General features: G+C 39.3%; 1 protein-coding gene across 14 annotated transcripts in view; it reads right to left on the reverse strand.

The window, feature by feature from the left end:
* Positions 1 to 26,326, reverse strand: part of SMG1 (SMG1 nonsense mediated mRNA decay associated PI3K related kinase) — a 121,549-nt gene that overhangs the window by 5,446 nt on the left and 89,777 nt on the right. For 12 of the 14 annotated variants that reach the window (XM_047433796.1, XM_005255184.5, NM_015092.5 and 9 more), the window contains 16 exons: positions 26,055 to 26,227; positions 25,628 to 25,907; positions 24,587 to 24,859; positions 23,899 to 24,133; positions 22,635 to 22,861; positions 19,914 to 20,064; positions 19,621 to 19,810; positions 18,981 to 19,450; positions 17,726 to 17,863; positions 9,197 to 9,349; positions 6,986 to 7,165; positions 5,997 to 6,224; positions 5,135 to 5,346; positions 4,870 to 4,976; positions 1,643 to 1,822; positions 1,456 to 1,562 (listed from right to left, as the gene is read on the reverse strand). In XM_047433796.1, coding sequence (XP_047289752.1) covers positions 1,456 to 1,562; positions 1,643 to 1,822; positions 4,870 to 4,976; positions 5,135 to 5,346; positions 5,997 to 6,224; positions 6,986 to 7,165; positions 9,197 to 9,349; positions 17,726 to 17,863; positions 18,981 to 19,450; positions 19,621 to 19,810; positions 19,914 to 20,064; positions 22,635 to 22,861; positions 23,899 to 24,133; positions 24,587 to 24,859; positions 25,628 to 25,907; positions 26,055 to 26,227 — 3,304 coding nt within the window. The remainder of the gene's footprint in view (positions 1 to 1,455; positions 1,563 to 1,642; positions 1,823 to 4,869; positions 4,977 to 5,134; positions 5,347 to 5,996; positions 6,225 to 6,985; positions 7,166 to 9,196; positions 9,350 to 17,725; positions 17,864 to 18,980; positions 19,451 to 19,620; positions 19,811 to 19,913; positions 20,065 to 22,634; positions 22,862 to 23,898; positions 24,134 to 24,586; positions 24,860 to 25,627; positions 25,908 to 26,054; positions 26,228 to 26,326) is intronic. The other 2 variants (XM_047433793.1, XM_011545769.4) reach the window with 1 other exon arrangement.

Consider the following 26,326-nt stretch of genomic DNA (forward strand, 5'->3'; position numbering starts at 1 on the left):
TCTTGAATGAATTGAATTATGAGGAAAATATCAGACAAATATAAATGGAGGCACATTCTGTAAACCAACTAATCTAGACAAACCAAAAATATCAACGGAAGAGAAGAGGGAAAGGCTCAGGAACTGTTCTAGATATTAAAGCAGATCAAGAAGTAGGACAAGGATGGACAGTCCCTGACTCACAGTGGATCTGAATGACCATTTTTTACCTCACCATGGGTTTATCGGGGTATTAAATGCATTTTAGACTTATGGATTTATTGGGATGTCACTCCATAAGGGGAGGACCATCTATCTATACACAAAATGCATGATGATCCTTGACTAGATCTTGAAGGTCGGAGGAACAGGGGGTTCAGAGAGGAGGAATAAGCAATAAAGGATATTTTGAGATAATTGGAGAAATCTGAATGTGGACTGAATGTCAGATAATAGTATTACAACAATGTTAAGTTTCCTGAGTTGACAATTATGTAGTAGCTACAGTATTATAGTATTTTGTTCAAGAGACACATGGTGAAGTTTAGGCATGAAGTGCTAAGATGTCTGCAAAGAACCCTCAAATTGTTCAGAAAAACTGTGTGTGCATACACACACAGAACAATGAAACATGGGAAATTGTTAACTGGTGAGTCTAGGTAAAACGTTTATGGGCATTCCTATAACTTTTCTGTAGCTTTATTCTCAAATTTATATATTCAATATTAGTAAGACTAATGAAAAAATTTCAGAATAATGACTTCAGACAAATGTCCCGATACCCAAAGATGCTTTACAAACATAGGTTGAGTATCCCTTATCCAAAATGCTTGGGACCTGTAGTTTTAGATTTTGGATTCTTTGAGATTTTGGAATATATACATGTATATAATGAGGAACTTGGTGGTGGGATGCAAGTCTACACACAGAATCCACTTATGCCTTATTATACACATAGCCTGAAGGTAATTTTATACATTTTCAGTGATTTTGTGCATGAAACAGGTTCTGACTAGATTTTCACTACTGGGATCCATCACCAGGTCAGGCATGGAACTTTTCACTTATGGCATCATGTCAACTCTCAAAATGCTTCGGATTTGGAGCATATGAGTTTCTAATTAGGGATGCTCCACTCATACTACACCTGCAACCCAAAGGGTCCTTGGCATTTCATTTGAAACCTTCAACAGTCTTCTTTAAATGGAAACTAACTGTAGTCTGGTGGAGGAGGATCGGACTTATATTTGGGTTAAAACAGGGCTAGGGGAAAGGAAAGTGCTCATAGGGAAGGGTCAGAGTAAAATGGTGACTACTTGACGACGCCAGAGCTGTGTTACTCAAAATCTTCTGAATCCTGAAAACACATTTAAGTTCCTTGATGAACTATTAAGGAAATCGATGAGAGGGATCTTTATACACCTCTACTTTTCCAGCAGCATTAAAATGTGTAGCCCAAGTTTAAAACACGGTCACCTGTTCAGCAACTGACATCCTCCTATTCGGATCAACATCTCGGCCCTCTAACTTGGCTTTCACTCTCTTCCACACACTCACTGCATAGGAGTTTCTCTCTTGCACCGCTATGAAGCAACAAAAACATACGTAAGTCAAACCGTCATTTTATATAAAAATTTAAGGCATCTTTATTCTAACTAATTACCTTTCCCAGTTTTAGGGTCTCTGACTGCCTTTTTAGGACTACAAGCAACACTCTTGCCAGTTCCTGGAACGGTGCTTGGTGGAGTATCAGCTGATGTAGCAAGATTTTTTTGGATCAGCTTTCTAGCATTCTGTGACATGACATCAGGCTGAGTCTTCTGGCCAGTGTTACTCCGGACTGCTACAGAGAAAGAGTTGGTGGCTCAATTTACATGTAAACAGAACATGGAGGGGGCAGAGTGGAGCAAGCACGGGATAGGTGGTAGTGGTTGATACCCCAATTAAATAATCAACTATAAATCCTTATCCTTGGACACAGCAATTGTCTTCCTAAAAATGTAGCCTAAAAACAGCCAGACATTCAGGTATGAATTTGTACAATTATGTTTACTAGGCTTGTGGCATCAAAAACCATAAATAACAGCCAGGCATGATGGCTCACGCCTGTAATCCCAGCACTTTGGGGAGGCTGAAGTGGGCGGATCAGTTGAGGTCAGGAATTTATTAAATTCAATAAAAGTGAAATATAAACATTAATTTACCAAAATATACAATGGTAATATGATATTTTGGGTATCCACGTGTTAATCTTTGTGAACTATTTTATATATATATACATATATATACACACACATATATATACATATATATACACATATATATACATACACACATATATATACACATATATATACACATATACACACACACACACATATATATATACACACACATTTACTATACTTCAGGTTCTAGGGTACATGTGCACAACATGCAGGTTTGTTGCATATGTATACATGTGCCATGTTGGTGTGCTGCACCCATTAACTCTTCATTTACATTAGGTATATCTCCTAATGCTATCCCTCTCCTGTCCCCCCACCCACAACAAGCCCCGGTGTGAGATGTTCCCCTTCCTGTGTCCAAGTGTTCTCATTGTTCAATTCCCACCTATGAGTGAGAACATGCGGTGTTTGGTTTTTTGTCCCTGCGATAGTTTGCTGAGAATGATGGTTTCCAGCTTCATCCATGTCCCTACAAAGGACATGAACTCATCCTTTTTTATGGCTGCATAGTATTCCATGGTGTATATGTGCCACATTTTCTTAATCCAGTCTATCATTGTTGGACATTTGGGTTGGTTCCAAGTCTTTGCTATTGTGAGTAGTGCCGCAATAAACATACGTGTGCATGTGTCTTTATAGCAGCATGATTTATAGTCCTTTGGGTATATACCCAGTAATGGGATGGCTGGGTCAAATGGTATTTCTAGTTCTAGATCCCTGAGGAATCACCACACTGACTTCCACAATGGTTAAACTAGTTTACAGTCCCACCAACAGTGTAAAAGTGTTCCTATTTCTCCACATCCTCTCCAGCACCTGTTGTTTCCTGACTTTTTAATGATGGCCATTCTAACTGGTGTGAGATGGTATCTCATTGTGGTTTTGATTTGCATTTCTCTGATGGCCAGTGATGATGAGCATTTTTTCATGTGTCTGTTGGCTGCATAAATGTCTTCTTTTGAGAAGTGTCTGTTTATATCCTTCGCCCACTTTTTGATGGGGTTGTTTTTTTCTTGTAAATTTGAGTTCTTTGTAGATTCTGGATATTAGACTTTTGTCAGATGAGTAGATTGCAAAAATTTTCTCCCATTCTGTAGGTTGCCTGTTCACTCTGATGGTAGTTTCTTTTGCTGTGCAGAAGCTCTTTAGTTTAATTAGATTCCATTTTTCAATTTTGGCTTTTGTTGCCATTGCTTTTGGTGTTTTAGACATGGAGTCCTTGCCCATGCCTATGTCCTGAATGGTATTGCCTAGGTTTTCTTCTAGGGTTTTTATGGTTTTAGGTCTAACATTTAAGTCTTTAATCCATCTTGAATTAATTCAAGCCTAGCCAACATGGCAAAATCCTGTCTCTATAAAAATACAAAAATTAGCAGGGCGTGGTGGCAGGTTCTTGTAATTCCAGCTACTGGGGAGGTTGAGGCAGGAGAATCCCCTGAACCCAGAAGGCGGAAGTTGCAGTGAGCCAAGATTGCGCCACTGCACTCCAGCCTGGGCGACTGAGTGAGACTCATCTCAAAAAAAAAAAAAAAAATTAAATTAAATTAAAAAAAAATAAAATAAAATAAAAATAAATAAGAAAATAAAAAATAAAAATAAATTGGCCATTAAGTCATTTTTAAAAAGATTATTTAATGACTGAAAAATTATTAACTGGAAAGGCAACAAAAATTACATTTGCATAATCATCCCAATGTGTTTGTGTATGTGTACATATGCACAGCAAGTAAATCAACAAATGCAGAGTGGTTTCTGCCTCTATTTGGAATGGAACTACAAATTCTTCATTTGTATTAAGTATTTTCCTATGTTTCTCTGATATATATATATATTTTTTTTAGCCAGGCATGGTGGCGAGCACCTGTAATCCAAGCTACTCAGGAAGCTGAGGCAGGAGAATTGCTTGAATCTGGGGGGTGGAGGTTACAGTGAGCCGCAACTGTGCCACTGCACTCCAGCCTGGGCGACAAGAGACAGTTTTGAGACTCCGCCTCAAACAAAAATAAAAACAATTTTTTTAAAGAAAACTATTCAAATTAGCAAAGCATTTTTACTCTCTCACGAGTTGTTTCATTTTTTTGAGACAGAGTCTTGCTCTGTCACCCAGCCTGGAGTGCAGTGGCGTGATCTTGGCTCACCGTAACCTCCACCTCCCGGGTTCAAGCAATTCTCCTGCCTCAGCCTCCTGAGTAGCTGGGACTACAAGCATCTGGCACCACACCCAGCTAATTTTTTTTGTATTTTTAGTAGAGACAAGGTTTCACCATGTTGGCCCGACTGGTCTCAAACACCTGACCTTAGGTGATCCACCTGGCTCAGCCTCCCAAAGTGCTGGGATTATGGGTGTGAGCCACCTCGCCCGGCCTTTTTTTTTTTTTTTTTTTTAATAGCTGTTTATTTATTTATTTTTAAAGAGACAGGGTCTTGAACTCCTGGCCTTAGACAATCCTCCCACCTTGGCCTTCAAGTAGCTGAGATTACAGGTGTGAGCCATCGTGCCTGGCTTACGAGTATTTTTAAGGATAAGCTAAAATCTGTTCAGTTTAAGATTATAGAATGACAGGCCTTAAGTGTTTAATATTAGACAGTTATGTATAATTAAACATCTTAGCATCTATGTGTAACATTAACAACAGATCAAGACTCAGGACTCTTCTCCTACCTGCAGCGAAGGATGGCTGATAAGTAGCAGATGACGTTGGACTCGAACATTCATTTGTTGCATCGGTGACTAAGGGTGATGCAAAACTCACTAAATTATTATAGATACTGAAATACAAAATAAAATGGCTTATTTACGAAATGTTTTACCTGATACTACTTATAAAAATATGAACAAAACTGAAAAATTAAATCAAGAGATAAACTTCTTATACCAGTAGTTTTGTACTTATGTTTTATAAATTCTGACCAGAAGGCATTCTTACCTCTGACTTTGTGTTTTCAGTTCTTTCAAGGTGGGAGTGATTTCCTGGAGCATTTCAACGTGTTCTTGACTTCGAACCTGACCCATAGCCTGGACTAATGTAAATAGAACTGTTTGAATGTTGTCTTGCCATGATTTATATTCACCCAAAAACTGCCTAACACTGTTCTCATAGGGAACATCTTCACCATCTGCCAGAGCAGCTTCTTCATCCTAGAATTGATAAATTAATGATTAAGAAAAATAGTTTTAGTATCAGTAATTACTCTCAAGACAGTCACCTAGTGATTAAGTAACAAATGTTTCAAATATGAGTGTGTTTAAACTGCTTAGTTCAACTCCATTTTTATAGGAACTTTGTTTCCACCATCAAATAAAAATTCAAAGTAAAAGTAAATTCTAAAATTAAATTATTTACTGTTTGTAATGATGAAGTAATAGCCTTTTCTGGAGGCTTAGTTTTCTTACTTACTAGACTATGTACAACACTGGAGGGAAGAGACAACATTTCATTCATTTTGGAGGCAAACTGTATGGGTTTGTTGGTATAGCTAAGAAAGAGAAAGACAAGCTGGATATCTGAATGCTCAGACTAGGTTCATATCTTGGTTTTATTACAAGTTATATCACAATAAAGGAATCTAATTAAGCCTTAGCTTCTCTGTGTATGAAATTCAAACTACTACTACTGGCTTTAAAAAATAGTTGATGAAAACACAAGTTAACTCAGTTACAAACAAATTGGAAGATGTGATGAGATAAATTGTTATTTACAAAATGTCACTGTTTTTCCTATAAATAAAACTACTTGTAAATTTTATAACAGAGGGAGAGTAAATGTGTGTTCATGGTATTAGTCTTACCTTAGCCATAGCTTTCAAGAGATGTTTGACATCTCCAAGCTGTCGGTTATGACCAGTGAGCACAGTCTTTATATTATCAACCAGATTCTGAATTGTTTCACAGACCGTTTCTATCTGCTGCTCTTTCTCTGTCTGAATTGCCCTCTGAGTAGACATATCCTGGGTCAACTGTTTGTGTGCTGACAAAAGCCATTCAGAGCTGCCAATAGGATGTTCAAGACCAGTGTCCTAAATAGAACAAGCATTTGTTTGACTTCGAGTATCAGCTGAAATAATGAGTTCTTTCTTCATTAACATCATCAAAAGATATTAGTAACTCAAGCTGACACAAAGAGAACCTCCATTGCTAAGTCATGAATTAATTACCTACAAGTTACTTAACAATAATCTCAATAATCTATGAAATATAGATGAAGATTTTTACTTTTCTGCATAATCATGCAGGCTTTAAATGCTTAAAGTTTAAGACCTGAGAAATACATTCGGAATCACAAAGATGACTGGCAATCCAGGTCCCTAAATTCTAAATAACTCTTCGAGATGAAATGTGAACTTCCTAACATACAGCTTTAAGCTTTCTGACAAAATATAAACGTCAAACTTACCAACTTGCTATTTCTGGCCTTCACTAACCTTTCCAGCATTCATCTTCCATAAGCCCTCTTTCTCCTGCTCTATTTTCAGTGCATTGGAATCATTTGCTACATATCGTCTTTCTCCTCCCTTCTAAACTTTCATAGTATTTTGGTTGTAGCTATGAGGATCCTTTACACTTCCTCATTTTTTATATTTTTAAACATATAATATGTTTCGGGGCGGGGGGGGGGGCGCTAAGAAAATAATTTAATCATCACTGTCCCCCCGCCCCCCTAACAACCTCTTACATACAGTATATGCTCAACGAATGTAATCGGAATGTATATATTAAATTGATTTTAATAGTATAACACTAGCCTTATTTAATCAAGTTTCTTTCCACCAAGACTCACCACTCTCTGTAATAAACGAAGCTCTAACTCAGACACTGAACTGTTAAACTGTGATGCAAACGAACACATCTGCTGACATCGCTTGATTAGTTCAAATAACGCCGCATCCAGGTTTAAGGCTTCTGCAGTTCTTGTTCGTAAACTTTCAAAATGAATGATATTGCTGCAGAGAAATGTGACCTGTAAAGACAGAAATGGAACCACAAGAGGAGATGGGAGGAAGGTGGGAAAGGGAGGTGGCAATTAATAACATGAAAAAATACTACTTCCTCATTTTGAGAATTCAGGACCAGAATTGGTCCTGAAAATGTTTGGGAAATAGACCAAAACCTTATAAAGGCTGTAAATAAATGTACATTTATACTGACACTGTTAGGTCTGAGATGGCCAAAAGCACTGACAAACAATTAGGTAAATTTATCTTCTACATTACTGTTTTTACATAGAATATTTACTCCACAATAAAGCTGTTATATTCAGCTGCAATTTGTGTTACAGCCACAATTCAGAAGACACTTCTGTCAGAATGTTCCCCTTCTGCTTCTATTCTTGCCTAACTTATCTGGCAGTATTAAGCTCATTTTAAAGGTATGATTAATATTGTGGTTAGTTTTTTTGTTTTTTCCCTTTGAGACAAGGTCTCCCCTGTTGCCCAGGCTGGAGTATAGTGGCTTAATTATGGCTCACTGTAGCCTTAAACTCCTGGGCTCAAGCAATCCTACCGCCTTAGTCTCCCAGGTAGCTAGTCTCCCAGCTGGGACCAGAGGTGCGTGCCACCATGCCTAGCTAAAAAAAAAAAAAAAATTTATTGGCCAGGTGTGGTGGCTCACACCTGTAATCCCAGCACTTTGGGAGGCTGAGGCCAGCGGATCACCTGAGGTCAGGAGTTCGAAACTAACCTGGCCAACATGGTGAAACCCCGTCTCTACTAAAAATACAAAAAACTTAGCTGGGCATGGTGGCGGGTGCCTGTAATCCCAGCTACTTGGGAGGCTGAGGCAGGAGAATCACTTGAACTCGGGAGGCAGAGGTTGCAGTGAGCCAAGATCACGCCACTGCACTACAGCCTGGGCAACAAGAGCAAAACTCCGTCTCAAAAAAAACAAAAAAAATTTTTTTTTTGGTAGAGACAGTGTCTTGCTATGTTGCCCAGGCTGGTTTCAAACTCCTAGCTTCAAGCCATCCTCCCGCCTCAGACTTCTGAGCAGCTAGAGCTAAAGGGACATACCACCATGCCCAGCTATGATACATTCTTAAATAGTTCTTAATAGGTATATACTGAAAAATTTATAGATAAAATTATGCACTATTTGGGATTTCTATTAAATATGGATAGAAAGGAGGATTAGGGAGTATGGGTGAAATAAGATAAGACTTAAGTTGATCATTATTAAGCACTGGCGACAGGTATGAAGTATGAGTATCATGTATTAGTCCAATTTTGTACTTAGTTGAAAATGTCCGTAATAGTTTTTTTGGTTCTCCTCCCCCTGCCCAATCCACAGCCTCTTGACAGGGCACAAGGTCCTTTTTTTTTTTTTTTTGAGACAGAGTCTTGCTCTGTCACCCAGGCTGGAATTCAGTGGCACGATCTTGGATCACTGGAACCTCTGGCTCCCAGGTTCAAGCGATTCCCCTGCCTCAGACTCCTGAGCAGTTGGGACTACAGGTACCCACCACCACACCCAGCTAATTTTTTTGTATTTTTAGCAGAGACGGGGTTTCACCATATTGGTCACGCTGGTCTTGAACTCCTGACCTTGTGATCCACCCACCTCAGCCTCCCAAAGTGCTGGGATTACAGGCGTAAGCCACGGCGCCTGGCCAACAGGGCACAAGGTCTTAAGACGTTTTATTGTCATGTGGAAAAAATAATATTCCAAGTACCTTTCCAAATCTTTGGATCACTTTAGTTGTATAAAAGAGACCCAGAGAACCTTAAACAGATATGAATTTAAGACCTCTTTATTTTTCAACAGAGGCTGAATTTATTTAATTAATATTTAAATGAGAGGCAGTAAAGGCCAAGGAAATAACCTGCTGTGGGTTCAACTTAAGGCATGTCCTGAAAGGCCCATCCGTCCCTCCTCCCAGGGCTGTGAGCCAGAACGTGGGCTCTCAAGCTCCCCTAGTTACCCCACATATAACTTCCAGCTACTCATCTAATCCTGTAAAAGTGAATACAAAGATGGTGCATGTAAGTCACAATACCTGACTTGCTCTTTGGCTCTCTTTAAGGACAAGATTTCTTCTTTCAGCTATCGTTGCTTCAAAATCTTGTAGTACAGGGGCCAATGCAGGGTTGGCACCACCTGCCCACTTGAGTCGCTGTTCAATACTTGATTCAAGTGCAGCTAGCTTCTCCTATAAAAGCCAGCAGAATCTTGGTGAAGGTATATGACATTCTCTACTTCCTATTTGTGGAGTATTTTATATAACACAATAAAGATTCAAAAGAACCAGGGTGGACACATGTAATTTAGAAAACAAAAGTTTTAACAATCACCTTTTGGAATTAACCTTGATTTCACTTTGAACATTTAAGGCCAAACATGTATGGAGAGAGAGGCAAGAACTGGCTTTCAGTTTATTATCTTAAAACGTACAGAAGGAAGTTTCACTTTCATTTTAAAATAAAATGATCTTTAAAAAATAAAAAATATGCTACACCAAATTCTTTTTTTTTTCTTTTGAGACGGAGTCTCACTCTGTCACCCAGGCTGGAGTTGCAGTGGTGCAATCTCAGCTCACTGCAACCTCTGTCACCTGGGTTCAAGCGATTCTCCTGCCTCAGCCTCCCGAGTAGCTGGGACTACAGGCACCTGCCATCGTGCCTGGCTAATTTTTGTAGTTTTAGTAAAGACGGAGTTTTACCATCTTGGCCAGGCTGGTCTTGAACTCCTGACCTCATGATCCACCCGCCTCGGCCTCCCAAAGTGCTGGGATTACAGGTGTGAGCCAGCACGCCCAGCTACTATCTTGGCTCACTGCAACCCCCGCCTCCTGAGCTCAAGCCATCCTCCCACCTCAGCTTCCAAAGAAGCTGGGACAAGAGGTGCGTGCCACCATGCCCAACTAATTTTTTGTATTTTCTGTAGAGACGAGGTTTTACTATGTTGCCCAGGCTGGTCTCAAACTCCTGGCCTCAAGCAATCCACCCACCTCGGCCTCCCAAAGTGCTGGGATTATAGGCATGAACCACCATGCCTGGCCAAGTTTATGAACAATGGTAAAAATCCATCCAGATTATCATGACGAGGAAAGTTTAATGTAACAAAGTTATTTGATTATTTATTCAACATTTCAGGTGGACGCATTCACATTTTCTCTCCCCAACTCCCTCTACTTTCCTGCATGTCCATGTCTCTAAAATCATAAAGAGGAAGAGTTCATTCTTGTAAGTTGAAAACACATCTTTTCTCTGACCAATACACTGTAGAGAAAGCTTATTTCAATCTTCAAATGACTGAGCTCCAAAAAAGCTTCATTAAAAAACTTTTAAAACATCACAGAATTATACTTGATTTTATACTGCTATTAATTTACAAAAACAAAAATGTCAGTTACTACTGAGTACATGAAGTATAAAGGACAGACAATATAAAGATACACATAACTTTCATTAAGGCAAGTTTCTCTTATGTAAAAAAATAAGTAGAAGGATTATGTACATAGCTTTCAATATCCAGTCACTATAATAGTTCAGAAAAATATTCTGCTGCCTTAGGCATCACAAAATTCCATTATCTATACAACATAAGAAATGCCCATGCTTGTTAGCTACTACTAATAAACAAAATAGAACTACTTATATACATTTCACAAAACAAATTCAGTATTCAAAGTTTTTCTAATCATCAAAATTTCCTTAATGTATTAAGGCACAGTAATTATCAAATTCATTAAAAACCTGAGATATTTAGTATGTTTCTTTTTTTTTTTTTTTTTTTCTTTTTTTTTTCTTTTTTTTTTTTTTATTATACTCTCAGTTTTAGGGTACATGTGCACATTGTGCAGGTTAGTTACATATGTATACATGTGCCATGCTGGTGCGCTGCACCCACTAATGTGTCATCTAGCATTAGGTATATCTCCCAATGCTATCCCTCCCGCCTCCCCCGACCCCACCACAGTCCCCAGAGTGTGATATTCCCCTTCCTGTGTCCATGTGATCTCATTGTTCAATTCCCACCTATGAGTGAGAATATGCGGTGTTTGGTTTTTTGTTCTTGCGATAGTTTACTGAGAATGATGGTTTCCAATTTCATCCATGTCCCTACAAAGGATATGAACTCATCATTTTTTATGGCTGCATAGTATTCCATGGTGTATATGTGCCACATTTTCTTAATCCAGACTATCATTGTTGGACATTTGGGTTGGTTCCAAGTCTTTGCTATTGTGAATAGTGCCGCAATAAACATACGTGTGCATGTGTCTTTATAGCAGCATGATTTATAGTCCTTTGGGTATATACCCAGTAATGGGATGGCTGGGTCAAATGGTATTTCTAGTTCTAGATCCCTGAGGAATCGCCACACTGACTTCCACAATGGTTGAACTAGTTTACAGTCCCACCAACAGTGTAAAAGTGTTCCTATTTCTCCACATCCTCTCCAGCACCTGTTGTTTCCTGACTTTTTAATGATTGCCATTCTAACTGGTGTGAGATGATATCTCATAGTGGTTTTGATTTGCATTTCTCTGATGGCCAGTGATGATGAGCATTTTTTCATGTGTTTTTTGGCTGCATAAATGTCTTCTTTTGAGAAGTGTCTGTTCATGTCCTTCGCCCACTTTTTGATGGGGTTGTTTGTTTTTTTCTTGTAAATTTGTTTGAGTTCATTGTAGATTCTGGATATTAGCCCTTTGTCAGATGAGTAGGTTGCAAAAATTTTCTCCCATGTTGTAGGTTGCCTGTTCACTCTGATGGTAGTTTCTTTTGCTGTGCAGAAGCTCTTTAGTTTAATTAGATCCCATTTGTCAATTTTGGTTTTTGTTGCCATTGCTTTTGGTGTTTTGGACATGAAGTCCTTGCCCACACCTATGTCCTGAATGGTAATGCCTAGGTTTTCTTCTAGGGTTTTTATGGTTTTAGGTCTAACATTTAAGTCTTTAATCCATCTTGAATTGATTTTTGTATAAGGTGTAAGGAAGGGATCCAGTTTCAGCTTTCTACATATGGCTAGCCAGTTTTCCCAGCACCATTTATTAAATAGGGAATCCTTTCCCCATTTCTTGTTTTTCTCAGGTTTGTCAAAGATCAGATAGTTGTAGATATGCGGCATTATTTCTGAGGGCTCTGTTCTGTTCCATTGATCTATATCTCTGTTTTGGTACCAGTACCATGCTGTTTTGGTTACTGTAGCCTTGTAGTATAGTTTGAAGTCAGGTAGTGTGATGCCTCCAGCTTTGTTCTTTTGGCTTAGGATTGACTTGGCAATGCGGGCTCTTTTTTGGTTCCATATGAACTTTAAAGTAGTTTTTTCCAATTCTGTGAAGAAAGTCATTGGTAGCTTGATGGGGATGGCATTGAATCTGTAAATTACCTTGGGCAGTATGGCCATTTTCACGATATTGATTCTTCCTACCCATGAGCATGGAATGTTCTTCCATTTGTTTGTGTCCTCTTTTATTTCCTTGAGCAGTGGTTTGTAGTTCTCCTTGAAGAGGTCCTTCACATCCCTTGTAAGTTGGATTCCTAAGTATTTTATTCTCTTTGAAGCAATTGTGAATGGGAGTTCACCCATGATTTGGCTCTCTGTTTGTCTGTTGTTGGTGTATAAGAATGCTTGTGATTTTTGTACATTGATTTTGTATCCTGAGACTTTGCTGAAGTTGCTTATCAGCTTAAGGAGATTTTGCGCTGAGATGATGGGGTTTTCTAGATAAACAATCATGTCGTCTGCAAACAGGGACAATTTGACTTCCTCTTTTCCTAATTGAATACCCTTTATTTCCTTCTCCTGCCTGATTGCCCTGGCCAGAACTTCCAACACTATGTTGAATAGGAGCGGTGAGAGAGGGCATCCCTGTCTTGTGCCAGTTTTCAAAGGGAATGCTTCCAGTTTTTGCCCATTCAGTATGATATTGGCTGTGGGTTTGTCATAGATAGCTCTTATTATTTTGAAATACGTCCCATCAATACCTAATTTATTGAGAGTTTTTAGCATGAAGGGTTGTTGAATTTTGTCAAAGGCTTTTTCTGCATCTATTGAGATAATCATGTGGTTTTTGTCTTTGGCTCTGTTTATATGCTGGATTACATTTATTGATTTGCGTATATTGAACCAGCCTTGCATCCCAGGGATGAAGCCCACTTGATCATGGTGGATAAGCTTTTTGATGTGCTGCTGGATTCGGTTTGCCAGTATTTTATTGAGGATTTTTGCATCAATGTTCATCAAGGATATTGGTCTAAAATTCTCTTTTTTGGTTGTGTCTCTGCCCGGCTTTGGTATCAGAATGATGCTGGCCTCATAAAATGAGTTAGGGAGGATTCCCTCTTTTTCTATTGATTGGAATAGTTTCAGAAGGAATGGTACCAGTTCCTCCTTGTACCTCTGGTAGAATTCGGCTGTGAATCCATCTGGTCCTGGACTCTTTTTGGTTGGTAAACTATTGATTATTGCCACAATTTCAGAGCCTGTTATTGGTCTATTCAGAGATTCAACTTCTTCCTGGTTTAGTCTTGGGAGAGTGTATGTGTCGAGGAATGTATCCATTTCTTCTAGATTTTCTAGTTTATTTGCGTAGAGGTGTTTGTAGTATTCTCTGATGGTAGTTTGTATTTCTGTGGGATCGGTGGTGATATCCCCTTTATCATTTTTTATTGTGTCTATTTGATTCTTCTCTCTTTTTTTCTTTATTAGTCTTGCTAGCGGTCTATCAATTTTGTTGATCCTTTCAAAAAACCAGCTCCTGGATTCATTGATTTTTTGAAGGGTTTTTTGTGTCTCTATTTCCTTCAGTTCTGCTCTGATTTTAGTTATTTCTTGCCTTCTGCTAGCTTTTGAATGTGTTTGCTCTTGCTTTTCTAGTTCTTTTAATTGTGATGTTAGGGTGTCAATTTTGGATCTTTCCTGCTTTCTCTTGTAGGCATTTAGTGCTATAAATTTCCCTCTACACACTGCTTTGAATGCGTCCCAGAGATTCTGGTATGTGGTGTCTTTGTTCTCGTTGGTTTCAAAGAACATCTTTATTTCTGCCTTCATTTCGTTATGTACCCAGTAGTCATTCAGGAGCAGGTTGTTCAGTTTCCATGTAGTTGAGCGGCTTTGAGTGAGATTCTTAATCCTGAGTTCTAGTTTGATTGCACTGTGGTCTGAGAGATAGTTTGTTATAATTTCTGTTCTTTTACATTTGCTGAGGAGAGCTTTACTTCCAACTATGTGGTCAATTTTGGAATAGGTGTGGTGTGGTGCTGAAAAAAATGTATATTCTGTTGATTTGGGGTGGAGAGTTCTGTAGATGTCTATTAGGTCTGCTTGGTGCAGAGCTGAGTTCAATTCCTGGGTATCCTTGTTGACTTTCTGTCTCGTTGATCTGTCTAATGTTGACAGTGGGGTGTTAAAGTCTCCCATTATTAATGTGTGGGAGTCTAAGTCTCTTTGTAGGTCACTGAGGACTTGCTTTATGAATCTGGGTGCTCCTGTATTGGGTGCATAAATATTTAGGATAGTTAGCTCCTCTTGTTGAATTGATCCCTTTACCATTATGTAATGGCCTTCTTTGTCTCTTTTGATCTTTGTTGGTTTGAAGTCTGTTTTATCAGAGACTAGGATTGCAACCCCTGCCTTTTTTTGTTTTCCATTTGCTTGGTAGATCTTCCTCCATCCTTTTATTTTGAGCCTATGTGTGTCTCTGCACGTGAGATGGGTTTCCTGAATACAGCACACTGATGGGTCTTGACTCTTTATCCAACTTGCCAGTCTGTGTCTTTTAATTGCAGAATTTAGTCCATTTATATTTAAAGTTAATATTGTTATGTGTGAATTTGATCCTGTCATTATGATGTTAGCTGGTGATTTTGCTCATTAGTTGATGCAGTTTCTTCCTAGTCTCGATGGTCTTTACATTTTGGCATGATTTTGCAGCGGCTGGTACCGGTTGTTCCTTTCCATGTTTAGTGCTTCCTTCAGGAGCTCTTTTAGGGCAGGCCTGGTGGTGACAAAATCTCTCAGCATTTGCTTGTCCATAAAGTATTTTATTTCTCCTTCACTTATGAAGCTTAGTTTGGCTGGATATGAAATTCTGGGTTGAAAATTCTTTTCTTTAAGAATGTTGAATATTGGCCCCCACTCTCTTCTGGCTTGTAGGGTTTCTGCCGAGAGATCCGCTGTTAGTCTGATGGGCTTTCCTTTGAGGGTAACCCGACCTTTCTCTCTGGCTGCCCTTAACATTTTTTCCTTCATTTCAACTTTGGTGAATCTGACAATTATGTGTCTTGGAGTTGCTCTTCTCGAGGAGTATCTTTGTGGCGTTCTCTGTATTTCCTGAATCTGAACGTTGGCCTGCCTTGCTAGATTGGGGAAGTTCTCCTGGATAATATCCTGCAGAGTGTTTTCCAACTTGGTTCCATTCTCCACATCACTTTCAGGTACACCAATCAGACGTAGATTTGGTCTTTTCACATAGTCCCATATTTCTTGGAGGCTTTGCTCATTTCTTTTTATTCTTTTTTCTCTAAACTTCCCTTCTCGCTTCATTTCATTCATTTCATCTTCCATTGCTGATACCCTTTCTTCCAGTTGATTGCATCGGCTCCTGAGGCTTCTGCATTCTTCACGTAGTTCTCGAGCCTTGGTTTTCAGCTCCATCAGCTCCTTTAAGCACTTCTCTGTATTGGTTATTCTAGTTATACATTCTTCTAAATTTTTTTCAAAGTTTTCAACTTCTTTGCCTTTGGTTTGAATGTCCTCCCGTAGCTCAGAGTAATTTGATCGTCTGAAGCCTTCTTCTCTCAGCTCGTCAAAATCATTCTCCATCCAGCTTTGTTCTGTTGCTAGTGAGGAACTGCGTTCCTTTGGAGGAGGAGAGGCGCTCTGCGTTTTAGAGTTTCCAGTTTTTCTGTTCTGTTTTTTCCCCATCTTTGTGGTTTTATCTACTTTTGGTCTTTGATGATGGTGATGTACAGATGGGTTTTCGGTGTAGATGTCCTTTCTGGTTGTTAGTTTTCCTTCTAACAGACAGGACCCTCAGCTGCAGGTCTGTTGGAATACCCTGCCGTGTGAGGTGTCAGTGTGCCCCTGCTGGGGGGTGCCTCCCAGTTAGGCTGCTCGGGGGTCAGGGGTCAGGGACCCACTTGAGGAGGCAGTCTGCCCGTTCTCAGATCTCCAGCTGCGTGCTGGGAGAACCACTGCTCTCTTCAAAGCTGTCAGACAGGGACACTTAAGTCTGCAGAGGTTACTGCTGTCTTTTTGTTTGTCTGTGCCCTGCCCCCAGAGGTGGAGCCTACAGAGGCAGGCAGGCCTCCTTGAGCTGTGGTGGGCTCCACCCAGTTCGAGCTTCCCGGCTGCTTTGTTTACCTAAGCAAGCCTGGGCAATGGCGGGCGCCCCTCCCCCAGCCTCGTTGCCGCCTTGCAGTTTGATCTCAGACTGCTGTGCTAGCAATCAGCGAGATTCCGTGGGCGTAGGACCCTCTGAGCCAGGTGTGGGATATAGTCTCGTGGTGCGCCGTTTCTTAAGCCGGTCTGAAAAGCGTAATATTCGGGTGGGAGTGACCCGATTTTCCAGGTACGTCCGTCACCCCTTTCTTTGACTCGGAGATATTTAGTATGTTTCTACTCCTGGTTCAAAATATACCTGTTACTATAAGATTCAGTTACCTTGGAGGGTAAGAAATAAAAAATATAGGCCGGGTGCGGTGGCTCAAGCCTGCAATCCCAGTGTTTTGGGAGGCCAAGGTGGGCAGATCACCTGAGGTCAGGAGTTTGAGACCAGCCTGGCCAGCATGGTGAAACCCCGTCTCTATAAAAATACAAAAATTAGCTGGACATGGTGGTGCGTGCCTGTAGTCCCAGCTACTTCAGAGGCTGAGGCAGGAGAATCGCTTGAACCCGAGAGGCAGAGGTTGCAGTGAGGTGAGATAGTGCCACTGCACTCCAACCTGGGCAACAAAGCGAGACTCTGTCTCCAAAATATATATATATAGGTATAAATATACCTATATATATATATTTTTATATATATTTGGTATAAATATACCAAAATATATATTTTTATATATCTTTGGTATAAATATACCAAAATATATTTTTTTATATATCTTTGGTATAAATATACCAAAATATATATTTTTAGATATATTTGGTATAAATATACCAAAATATATATTTTTATATATATTTGGTATAAATATACCAAAATATATATTTTTATATATATTTGGTATAAATATATCTAAATATATATTTTATATATATATTTGGTATAAATATACCAAAATATATATTTTTATATATCTTTGGTATAAATATATCTAAATATATATTTTATATATATTTTGGTATTTGGTATAAATATACCAAAGTATATGTTTTTATATATCTTTGGTATATATATACCTATATATATATATATATGTATAAATTAAAAGCAAAAGTGAAAAAAATTATGCTCTTCTGGCTTACAAGCCAAGGACACACAAATAGACACACTGAACAACAGAGCACTAACAATCATAGTATTGGTTATTTCTAAAAAGAAAATGCCCTGGAAGGAAGATCTGGCAAAACACACCTGAACTGTTGCAATAGAAGTTTCAATCTGGCTCAGGGTATGCAGCTTCTTTTTCATGCTGGTTAGGATAGCAGACCGTGGGGGAGGTGTGACTGACATGGCTTGTGGTCTATTGATAAGTAGATCTTCATGTTGCCACTGTTGAGAGAAAAAGAAATGTATTAAAATCAGCAGGAAAAAAGCGTTTAGATAAATAAGGGAAGGGAGGCGCAACCTAGGACTGGCGGAAGAGAAAAAAATCCCAGCTGCAGCCAATGGGAGGTAAGCAGGGAGAAGTAACAGAAAAGACACACTGAAAAAAATCACATCCAGGTGAAAGACTTCTTGAGGTAGAACATGGCTAATAAATTTCTTGGATCACTCACATGCACCATTTAAATAGTAATTCTGAAGATGTTAACTACAGTTAAGGAAATCAGAGCTTAAGGAAGTTAAGTACAAGTTTATATACCCAAGTCTCATTTGAATACAAATCCATCTCACCCCAAAGCCTGTGCTGTTATACATCCCCTAAGTAATTAAGGCCAAAACTAGGCTTCTAAAAACCATTTCCAAAATAAAGACAGATTTATTCCCAAAGCTGTTTATCACATCAATAAGGCATCAAGGAAAGAGAAACTACTTTAGAAATAAATACAGGAAGCATACCTACATATGAATGAATTCAACATTAAAAACTATATTTATGCCAGGCATGGTGGCTCACGCCTATAATCCCAGCACTTTGGGAGGCCAAGGCGGGTGGATCACCTAGGCTCGGGAGTTCGAGACCAGCCTGACCAACATGGAGAAACCCCATCTCTACTAAAAATACAAAATTAGCCAGGCGTGGTGGCACATGCCTGTAATCCCAGCTACTAGGGAGGCTGAGGAGGGAGAATCGCTTGAACCCAGGAGGCGGAGGTTGCGGTGAGCCGAGATCGCGCCATTGCACTCCAGTCTGGGCAAGAAGAGCAAAACTCCATCTCAAAAAAAAAAAAAAGCAATATTTAATACAGATCATGCTTATCATACAGCCTTGATGGAAAGAAATTCTAAGGACACAAACCATAAAGGATAAATGATCTCAACTATACAGAAGAGAAACGAAGTATCATTGGAAAGAAAGTGCCAAAATGCTATGGTGTGTTTGCATTGGGTTGCTGTGAGTTCAGGAAGTTTTAAAAAAATTTCTGTGTATTGTTTTAAATTAATTTCCCCCATTTTTCAAGTTTCCTACCTTGAGGAAAAACACATTATAAACAAAAACACTTACCTGAAACATGGCAATATGCAGCTGAACCCGCTGCAGGCTTGTCTTACAAGAAGAAATACTGGTTTCTAGCCTTCGCACCAAGTCATGCTTCTTCCAGGCAGTGTCGTAAGAACTTGCTAACACAGTTGCCCTGTTCATAACCAGCTGAGAGAACTTCCCTATCTGGATGTTATGTTCCACCGCTTTCTTACAGAGATCATCAACAGAAACTTTGCTTTCGGCACCAAAGTCCTTTGCCTCTACTTGAGCAATGATGTCTACACCCAGAGCACTGATAAAACTGCACAGTGTGAGTCCGAGGGCTTGGTTGGGTAGCCCTATCAAGAGCTGCCTCACAAAGTCAGCTGTGAATGCCTTGATAGGTTTGGCCATTTGGTCTTCACTGAAACAAGAGTTTCTAAAAAGGGTTTTCACATTGACAATCTGTACAGGCCCATTCACAGTATTCTGATCTTCAAGTGAACTTGATCCTACAAAAAGGAAAAATTTCTTGTATTTCATGAAAAAAATCAGGTAATATGCTGCTTATTTATAGTATTTAAGGTGTCATGAATGTATAATTAAATTAAGCCTACTCTATCCTGCCCCCTTCCATAGTGCTACATAGCTAAAGCTAGTATGTTTACAGGTAGAATATTACCTGACAATGTTTTAGAAAAGGTACCACAGAGCCTGAAGAACTCCTTAATAGTCTGTAGTCTTTTTAGAAAGAAAATCTCTTCTAGCACCTGCCGGTGATTATCATCATCAAAAAAATTAACTTGAGTACTCCTGGCTTCCCTTATGATGTCAATCTTTCGCCAAGCTATGGGAATTTCCATCTTGTTCAACTATGTAAATGAAAGAAAACAAAGTTCATTTCTCCACTCTTGACACAACTGAACAACTACTTTATGGCACTTGCATTATTTTTAAATCCAAGTCCACATTTACCTTTTCAACTAATAAGCTGAAAGCAGTTTCAACTTGAGCAAACATGCCATCGAATGCTACCAAAAGCATCTGGCCAGCTGACATTTTGGGTGTTTCATCAACTGAACCATTTCTCGGTTGGATTAATTCACCGTACTGAGCATGTAGTAGTCTACAGAAAAACAAAAGGAGTTAAAACCTTCGCTGAAAAGTAATGCCTTTGGTGGGAACATACAAAGTCAGTACATCTCACAGCTGCATGCTGTGAGAGTCTAGAAAGCCTTCTGGCATTAAGAAGAAGTGTTATTAGGCCGGGCGCGGTGGCTCACGCCTGTAATCCAGCACTTTGGCAGGCCGAGGTGGGCAGATCACCTGAGGTCAGGAGTTCAAGACCAGCCTGACCAACATGGAGAAACCCCGTCTCTACTAAAAATACAAAAAAATCAGCCGAGTGTGATGGTGGGCACCTGTAGTCCCAGCTACTCAGGAGGCTGAGGCTAGGAGAATCGCTTGAACCTAGGAGGCGGAGGTTGCCTAGGAGGCCAAGATCGCGCCATTACACTCCAGTCTGGGCAACAAGAGCGAAACTCCATCTCAAAAAAAAAGAAGGAATGTTATGATGATAAAATGGTATTTCATGTCAACCACAATAGGATTTCAATGATTCCAATTCGTTATTAATGACTGTTATGTGATTAAATTTTATGCAAACTTCAGTGATCAGTCTCATTTTTACACACAAAATATGAAATAATTTAAAATCCTGTATTGAAAAATGTCAGAAATCACACCATTCTAAAGCTGGCGGACCTAGTAAATTGTCAGGTATGTTCGCACTATTACTACAAGATACGATACAACCAAGTATACTTGCTATTTTGGGTATGCTTGGTTTTTATTTATGCACATTTTGAATGTAAGGTCTTCAGAAATTCACCCCTCACATTACCATTAAGACTTACATAGTGCTTATGTATCCAGGCACTATTTCTTATCACACACACACACAGAAACCATTCCAAATGGCTGGAACTATTAAGAATTTTTAAGAGAATTAAAAATGTTAAACTACCAGATAAATTTCTAATGGAAAAAGAGCTGTAAGATGGTATGAGATTTTCCTTGAGATTACCCAAAAAAAGCTTCTCTGAAACAAGGCACAGACAGGCTGCCATAGATCCAGGCACAAAGTTTGTTACCCAAAGTACACATTTAGGTAAACATTCCTCTGTATGAGGATAAGGGGAACCCAGATAAGATATTAAGAGAGATAAAATGAAGTCTGAAATTCAGTGCAAAACAAAGATGTACAGATCTAGCATTTAACTTTTTAAATACTGCTAAAAATTATATGATAAAGCTGTTCTATAAATAATCTAATATTTATGCTATTAATGATTATACTTTTTCTAGCCGGGCATGGGGGCATACGTCCATAGTCCCAGCTACTAGGGAGGCTGAGCCAGGAGAATCTCTTGAACCCGGGAGATGGAGGCTGCAGCGAGCCGAGATCGCACCATTGCACTCCAGCCTAGCGACACAGCAAGACTCCATCTCAAAAAAAAAAAAAAAAATACATATATATATATATATACACACACACGTACATATTTATGAATATATATGAATATATTTATTATTTTATGAATATAACCACTCCAAAGAAACATGAGAAACAGGAAATTTCTGAATGCAGGATAATTAACATTAAGGAATTATTGCTACTTTTTTCATGAAATAATGGCACCACAGTCAAGAAAAATAAGATTACATATATATGTATACTTTCTGCATTATTAATATTTAAGAATGAAAAAATATTTGCTTCTAAATAACTAGGGTAGTAAATTTAAACCAGACTAGCCCAGTGCAGATAATTACCAAAGGTGGTGGCAGGGGGTTCATTAGACTATTCTCTCTACAGTCTTGTATCTTTGAAATTTCCCATGGGAGGAAACGGTGCTACAATTCATTTCTACTCTCTCAATTATACTTCTTCTGTGAATTAGACATTGGAACGCCAAAGAAAAGAGGCCCTGAGTCACTAGGCACAAAGAAGCTTAGGGATTAGCTCTGAGTACAATGCATGTCTGCAGGAACTGCCCAAACTCTACAGATTCCAAAGTCAGATTGCTTTTCTGGACTAATGAGATGAAAAATACAATATCCAATTAGCTAAAACAAACTTACAATATTTAAACTAATTTAAAAGTATTCACCTGAAATGAGGTGTGTACTCTGTTAGCTAAATAAACTGTTTCAGGTGTCTCCAAGGGGTTCTACAAGATGGCTTAAAAATATCATGTTCGACTGTGTGTATGTACATGTACATAACTACAAGCACTAAAAGGATATATGTATGTATGTGACCGAACTATACACTTGCACACACACACACACACACACACACACACACAAATAAGTGCATGTATAACTAGTGAAATCTGAGTAAGCGGTGTGGACTATATCATTGTCGGTTTCATAGTGTTACTATAGATACTAACACTGAAGGAAGGATGAAGCATGCACAATACCTGCCTGCACTTTTTTTTTAAGCAACTTCTCGTGATGTATAATTATTTCAAAATAAAAAAGTTTTAAAAAGATACGTGTATGAGCATTTATAAGTAATTATACCTGCTCTAAAAACTAAAAGTAAACTTACGTTAAAGAGCTCAGAATCCCTTTCTCTGGCTGTCCCATCTCTTTTACAAGGAAACGGCACAGCCAGCATTCACTTGCCTGGCAACATCGATGTAATGAGCATGTGTTTCTTCTTCCAGTCCCATAGCTGCGTTTCTTAAGTAGGCCTGAAGAGATTCCACTAGAGTCTGCAGGGGAACGCCATCGGTGGTCTGCTCAATAAGACCGTCCAGTTCATGCAGCATACTTTCTAACGTGTATTCCCCTTTCATTAAACATCGAAGTGCTTCTGGAAATATGATTTGCCGGAAATTCGAATTCAATTCCTATAAATATATGAGAAAAAAACTTTTAATGTTTTTTGAGTTTAGCTAAGTTACACATTTGGAGACTTAGAGCCATACATTAAGAGCAAACTTATGTAACTATGCCATCAACTCATTCATGTAAGTACATCTTTTGTTTACTTTTTATTTCTACTTTTAAATATTTTCTTTTCAAATTCTATTTCATAGTCATGTGAAATTTTTCAGGAACTATTTCAAATGACTTTAAAAAGTTGTCATATAATTAAACATTCCTAGGATGATGTACCTTAAGAACAAAAAGAACTGCCCTAAAGTATGTTATATAATGTTATTAATTTTTAGGAATCATATTTCTGTAGTGATATTAGCATTGTTATTCTCTTTTTGGTTTGGTTATAAGTGGCTTCTATTTCCCTTCAAAAAAAAAAAGTCTTATCAAGGTATAATTTGCATATAATAAACTGCATGTTTAAAATATATAATTTGTTATACTTTGGTACTTGCATACACTCATGAAACTGTCACCACAATCAAGAAAATCAGCATACCGACTACCCTACAAATTTCCTCCTGACTTCTTAATCTCTCTCACTCACACTTCTCCATACCACCTCCTCCATCTCCAAGTAAACACTGATCTGCTTTTTCTCATATTATACACTCTCCATTTATAGGGGTAGAAATGTCTAGCTTTCTTTACTCAGCATAATTATTGTAAGTCATACATGTGGCTGTATGTTATCAAGGTGTCGTTCACTTTTATTGCTAAGAAGTATTCCATTATGTGGATGTACCATATTTGTCCATTTGCTTGATGAACACTTGACTTGATTCCAGTTTTTGACTATTACAAATAAAGCTGCTATAAAAATTCAAAAAAACAAAGAGCAACTGTAACCAAGTTATAGCTATAAATCTCACAATTATCTTCCTTTTAAATGACTGGTTGAGCAACATTCAAATGGGGAAGTCAAATTGCTTTCCTGGGTTAAAGAGATGAGAAAGACAATATTCAGTATCTAAAACAAACTAATATTTAAAATAAAAGTGTTCACCTGAAGTGAGGTATACACTCCATTGGCTAAGTGAACTGTCTCAGACGCTTCCATGGGGTTCGGGATATCTAAGTCCTGTGGCACCAGGTGGCACTGCTTCAGTAACTGAACCAAGCAGGTGACGTTTCCGCTCATACTGCAGAGTTCCTCCAAGAACCAGGCTCCATCCCGAGAAGTCAGATCAACCAGCTGTTCTCCAGCACTTGACGCTGCACCTTCCATCATCAGGTTACGCCTACAAGAGATAAATATCTGTACAGTGAAACTTAAATGTATAAACAAAACAAGGTAACTGGCCGGGTCAAGGCCATGCCTGTAATTCCAGCATTTTGGGAGGCCGAGGCAGGTAGATGACTTCAGGCCAGGAGTTCGAGACCAGCCTGATCAATATGGCAAAACCCCATCTCTACCAAAAAATACAAAAATTAGCCAGGTGTGGTGGCACACACCTGTAGTCCCAGCTATTAAGGAGGCTGAGGTTGCTGTGAGCCGAGATCGTGCCACTGCACTCCAGCCTCAGTGTCAAGAGTGAGACCCTGTCTCAAAACACAACCAAGATAACTAAAATCTGAAAAGCAAGTAAGCAGCTGTAACACTTGGCAAGACTAAGGAAAGTAAAAGAACATTTTAGGTTTGGGATTAAAAATAAGACACAGGAAATGGTCCAATATGAAGTTGGCTAACTTACCTTGTAAGGGTACAAAGGGCAGAAATAATAACACTTGCTAGACTCAAAGATCCTTCTTCTCCATTCTCATGAAGGAAAACTTTAATGCAACGTTCAATTTCTTTCAACTGATCTTCACAAACTGGCACAGTGACAGCTTCCTGTTTCAAGCGTTCCACTTGTCTAATAAGTCTGCTGTTGATGTCTGCTGCGTATCGCTGCAGGGTCATTTCAGTGGCAGTGATGAACTGACACACTGTTGGGGGTGGCTGGGGAGCATATTGCATTTCATATCTATAAAAATAAGGAAGAGGTGCTTGTTTATAACACAACCACCCCCAACATACAAAAGAATATTGCATTTAATCCTCAAACAAAACTTGAAGAGTAGAAATCATTATTTACATTTTACAGATAAAAATGTCTCAAGAGCTTAAGCAATTTCCTAAAAGGACTTGTTGATGACTGTGACAGAATCAACATTTGAGGCCAGGCACCACGGCTCATACCTGTAATCCTAGCACTTTGGGAGGCCAAGGCAGGAGGATCGCTTGAGCTCAGGAGTTCGAGACCAGCCTGGGCAACACGGCGAAACTCCATCTCTACAAAAAAATATAAAAATTGTTCAGGCGTGGTGACACACGCCCGTGGTCCCAGCTACTTGGGAGGCTGAAGTGGGAGGATCACCTGAGCCCAGGGAGGTCAAGGCTGCAGAATACAACTTTGCTTCCACTCCCAATAAGAAATACAATTGGCCAGGCGCAGTGGCTCACGCCTGTAATCCCAGAAATTTGGGAGGCCCAGGCAGGCAGATCACGTGGTCAGGAGTTCAAGACCAGCCTGGCCAATATAGTGAAACCCCGTCTGTACTAAAAAGACAAAAATTAGCCGGGCTTGGTGGTGTTGTAGTCCCAGCTACTCTGGAGGCTGAGGCAGAGGAATTGCTTGAACCTCAGAGACGGAGGTTGCAGTGAGCCAAGATCATGCCACCACACTCCAGCCTGGGTGACAGAACAAGACTCCGTCTCAAAAATAAAAGAAAATTAAGCACTATCAACTTACTTCCTATAGAGCTCTTGACAACGCTCTACTGTGGTGTTACAGATGAGCTCTTCCATCCAGGTCTTCCACTGTTCAATTCGATGTTTCTGAAATATGGCCTTCGGATACTGCAGGGCCACGGTTGCATAGTGATGCAGTTGCTCCAGACAGCCACGGAGCACGGAGCGCCTCTGCTGCAGGAGAGCACCAACCTCCCCCTCCAGCTGCTCGCACTGGCTAATCAAGTGGGCCTGACCAGCATTCTGCAGAAAGGCTGTTGCTGGCACGTAACTTGGAGGACCTTTTGGTAAAAGACATTATTAAACACAGTAAAACAGGGTCAAGTCAGCTGTCACTAAAAGCAAGCACAAACCAGGACCCCACACAAACACACATGACTATAAAACTCATAGTTTCACATGTGAATCTAAAATAAGTCAACCCATACCAAGGTCCATTTGTGTGCTTATCTCTTGAAGCAAGCTTGCAAGCTGTGTTGCTTCTAAATTATTGAATGCAGCCTGATAATGTGTTATCCATTGTTCAAATTCATTCAGCTTCACCTGGATTGCTTCCTGAACAGCTCTTTGCTGAGTCTGTAGTTGGGTGTGCTCAGAATACCTAATCAGGGGGACACAAACAAAATCAAAAGATTTATTGCTGTTTTCTTCCACATACTTTCCTACCCTGGAATGTGCTCACACATGGACTGTCTGGTAC

Source organism: Homo sapiens, chromosome 16, assembly GCF_000001405.40.
Source record: "Homo sapiens chromosome 16, GRCh38.p14 Primary Assembly".
In the NCBI taxonomy this organism is placed as follows: domain Eukaryota; kingdom Metazoa; phylum Chordata; class Mammalia; order Primates; family Hominidae; genus Homo; species Homo sapiens.